We start from the raw sequence: 3,217 nt of genomic DNA on the forward strand, positions 1-3,217 counted from the left end.
GACTGAAAACACCATCAGGGTAGAAATCTCTGGTTCACAATGGAGTACTCAGCCCCTAACACCCAGGAACAAAGTAGGTGGGCGGGTGGATGGATGGGTGAGTACAGGTGGTGTGTGGGTGCACAAAGGATAGAGTTTTCTATCTGGGAGGTATTGGAAGGGCTTCCCAGAGGAGGTGATGTTCAGTCAGGGCCCCTGAAGATGAGCTGGAGTTTGAGAAGACCCAGGTTCACATAAGTGAAGTGGGCTTGTGCTCGTCTCCCAACCTCACTATCTTTCGGTTGGCTATCTGGGTTTTACTTCATCTTCACCTCACCCATTCAGCCACAGACTCGGGGAAGGTGATTCCGTCCCTGGTGTGTGTGTGTGTGTGTGTGTGTGTGTAAGGAGGCATGCGGTTCAGGCTGAAATGAATCAGTATGTTGCCCTTCCCAGCCCATCGTTTCAGAAAGGGCAATATGACAAAAGAAAAAGTTTTTTTGGGAAGCAAGCTTTCTTGCCTTTCTAAAAGAGCCCCTAGAACAAACAAACAAATGAACTAACTCTCTCTCCTCACCTCTCCCACTCCTGCCTCCTCTCCCAGCCTGGGACAAGGAACTTTGTAGGCTCAGAAGTTGACAGGGTCAGGGTAGGGAAGGAGGATCTGGCCTTGAGATGAGGTGGACACTGGATGACAGAATGGAGGATCTTGTTGAACTCCTGAATGAAGCCACCCCTTAACCCCACTCCCCTTGGGACTTATCAGTTATACGACAGTGAGTCCTCTTCACTGAGTTGAGTTTAAGCCAGCTGAGTTGAATGTAGAACACCCCTACAGCTAGGGAATGGGCTGCAGCCCACATTCCTGCCTTGCACAAATCTCCAGGTGCATCAGAACGACCTGGAGCACGTGCAAAGAATGCAAATTCCCCAAGGATCAGGGCATGCTGGTGGGTGCCCCAGGCACCTCTGACGTGTGGGTGGTCTGCAGCTTGTGCTCAGAGTCTGCATGCTGCTTGCTGAAGGGGCGCACTGTAGTGGCTGTCCTAGCTGCGCTGCTGCTGGTCTCGCTGGTAACAATTCTACCATTCATTCACCTTCACCGTCCTCACAGGTGCCTGGGGAATGGGGGTCCTGAGGATCACTCTGTGTGCTTTTGTGTAATGTGGGAGGGTGAGGGGAGAGGTGTGCCCTCATTTGTTCTTTCAACAGATCCTACAGAGTGCCTACTGTGCCCCTGTGCTCTGTAGGACACACGGAAGGAGAACCCCACACTAGGGCAGCTGGTGATGGAGCTGAGGAGACAAGACATAACCATGTATTTATTTAATCATAATCTGTTATTTATTAATCTATTTAAAACCATTTATTATTTCATCACTATTAAACATTATTTAAATCACACCCAAGGCAGCAGCATATGAGTGACAAGTGCACAATCCAGACTCTAAGGCTGGAGAACTGCAGAGAATTTGGTGAAGGGCTTTATGAAAGCTGTGATTTCTGTTGAATAATAATAATAACTCTTTACATGTACACAGTGTTTTAACTGATTTATTTATTCACATGCCATAAACTGTGCCATAGAATCCAGTAGTTGTTAGTATATTCACAAGATTGTAAAATCATCCTCACTAATTTCACAATATTTTTATCACCCCAAAAAGAAGCCCTGTAACCATGAGCAGTCACTCCCCATTCCTTCCCACCAGTCCCTGGCAACCACAAATCTATTTCTATGGATTTGCCTATTCTGGACGTTGCATATAAATGAAATCATATAATACGTGACCTTTTGAGTCTGGCTTCTTTCCCTTAGCATGATGTTTCCAAGGTTCATCCATGTTGCAACATGTATCAGTATTTCATTCCTTTTTATTGCCAAGTAACATTCCATTGTATGGATCTACCCCCTTTTGTTTATCCATTCATCAGGTGAGGCTTATTTAGGTGTTTCCACTTTAGGTTATTGTGAATAATGTGGCTATGAACACTTGTGCTGCCGGTCTTGCTGGTAGCAGTTCTACCATCCATTAACATAGCATAATGTTAGCATAATGTTCATACAAGTTTTTGTATGAATGTATGTTTTCAGTTCTCTTGGGTATACACCTAGGAGTGGAATTGCTGATCATATAGTAATTTTATGTTTAATCATTTGAGGAACTGCCAAACTATTTTCCACAGTTGCTACATCATTTTAGATTCCTACCAACAATGTACAAGTGCTATGTATAGTGTTTTACTATTTTTGAAATCCCTTTCATATCCATGATCTAATTTAATACTCATCTTGTACAAAATTGTATTTATTTTTTATAGTAAAGAGATTGTATAGTTGAAGATTCTTTCACTTGCAAGTGACAGAAATTCAACACAATCAAACTGAAGCAGAAAATAGAATGTAAAAGGTCATGTAACTAGGAAGTGCAAAGGTGTTCTGTCTGCAGGTGTGGCTGGATCAAGGGTCTCAAATCAATGTTACTGCTCTCTCTCTGTCTTCTCTTAGTTTTGCTTCACTCCATTTTCCTTTCCTGCAGCAGAAGAGTTTCTCTGACTGTCTAGCAGTCCCAAGCTTATACTTCATAGATTCTGAAGGGAGAGAGACAGCCTTCCTTTAGTAGATCCAGCAGAAAAGTCTAGGGCTTTGGTTCATGCCCACCCCTGAACCAGTCCTAGTGTCTGGAGGATATGGTGCTATAATTAGCTCAGTTTGGGACACACACCCAGCCCCATGACTTGGGAAGAGAAAGGCGCCATGACTGACAGCCCCATCAAAACCACATATTACAGGAGAGGACTTTCCTAAAGGAACCAGAAAAAGTGGGATGGCAAAGTATACTGGACAGACAAATCCATGGTTACTAAAAAATCTAAGCTCAAAGTAGCAATAGATTCACGCAAGATTCCACATCATCTATGAGGCAGAACTGAGATTGGAACCCAGCATTCTGAAAGCAGATTGAGTATTAATCCCAACATCCCAACTGGGTGGAGGGAGCGGGTATTTCAGGCCAAGACTGCATGAGCATGGTCAGCTCAGAGACAGGTCCTATTGGCAACTTCTGTGGCTCCCAAGATTTCAGTCTGAGCATGCTCCTCTGGGAGGACCTTGGCTTCTCTATGGAGGGAGAACGAGCAGTGGTCTGGAGTACTGATGACAGAGGCCTTGGCTCAGTTAGGACCAATGCTTTTTTTTTTTTTTTTTTTTTGAGATGGAGTCTTGCTCTGTCACCCA

General features: G+C 44.3%; 1 annotated feature.

Annotated features, from left to right (window-relative positions):
• Nucleotides 748-1,042: a silencer, noted in NCBI's record as "tiled region #1870; HepG2 Repressive non-DNase unmatched - State 21:Repr, and K562 Repressive non-DNase unmatched - State 21:Repr". NCBI's record gives its function as "represses a minimal TATA promoter and a strong SV40 promoter by Sharpr-MPRA in HepG2 and K562 cells {active_cell/tissue: HepG2 | K562}" and the evidence as "EXISTENCE:reporter gene assay evidence [ECO:0000049][PMID:27701403]".

The sequence above is a fragment of the Homo sapiens genome, chromosome 15, assembly GCF_000001405.40.
Source record: "Homo sapiens chromosome 15, GRCh38.p14 Primary Assembly".
NCBI classification, from domain to species: Eukaryota; Metazoa; Chordata; class Mammalia; order Primates; family Hominidae; genus Homo; species Homo sapiens.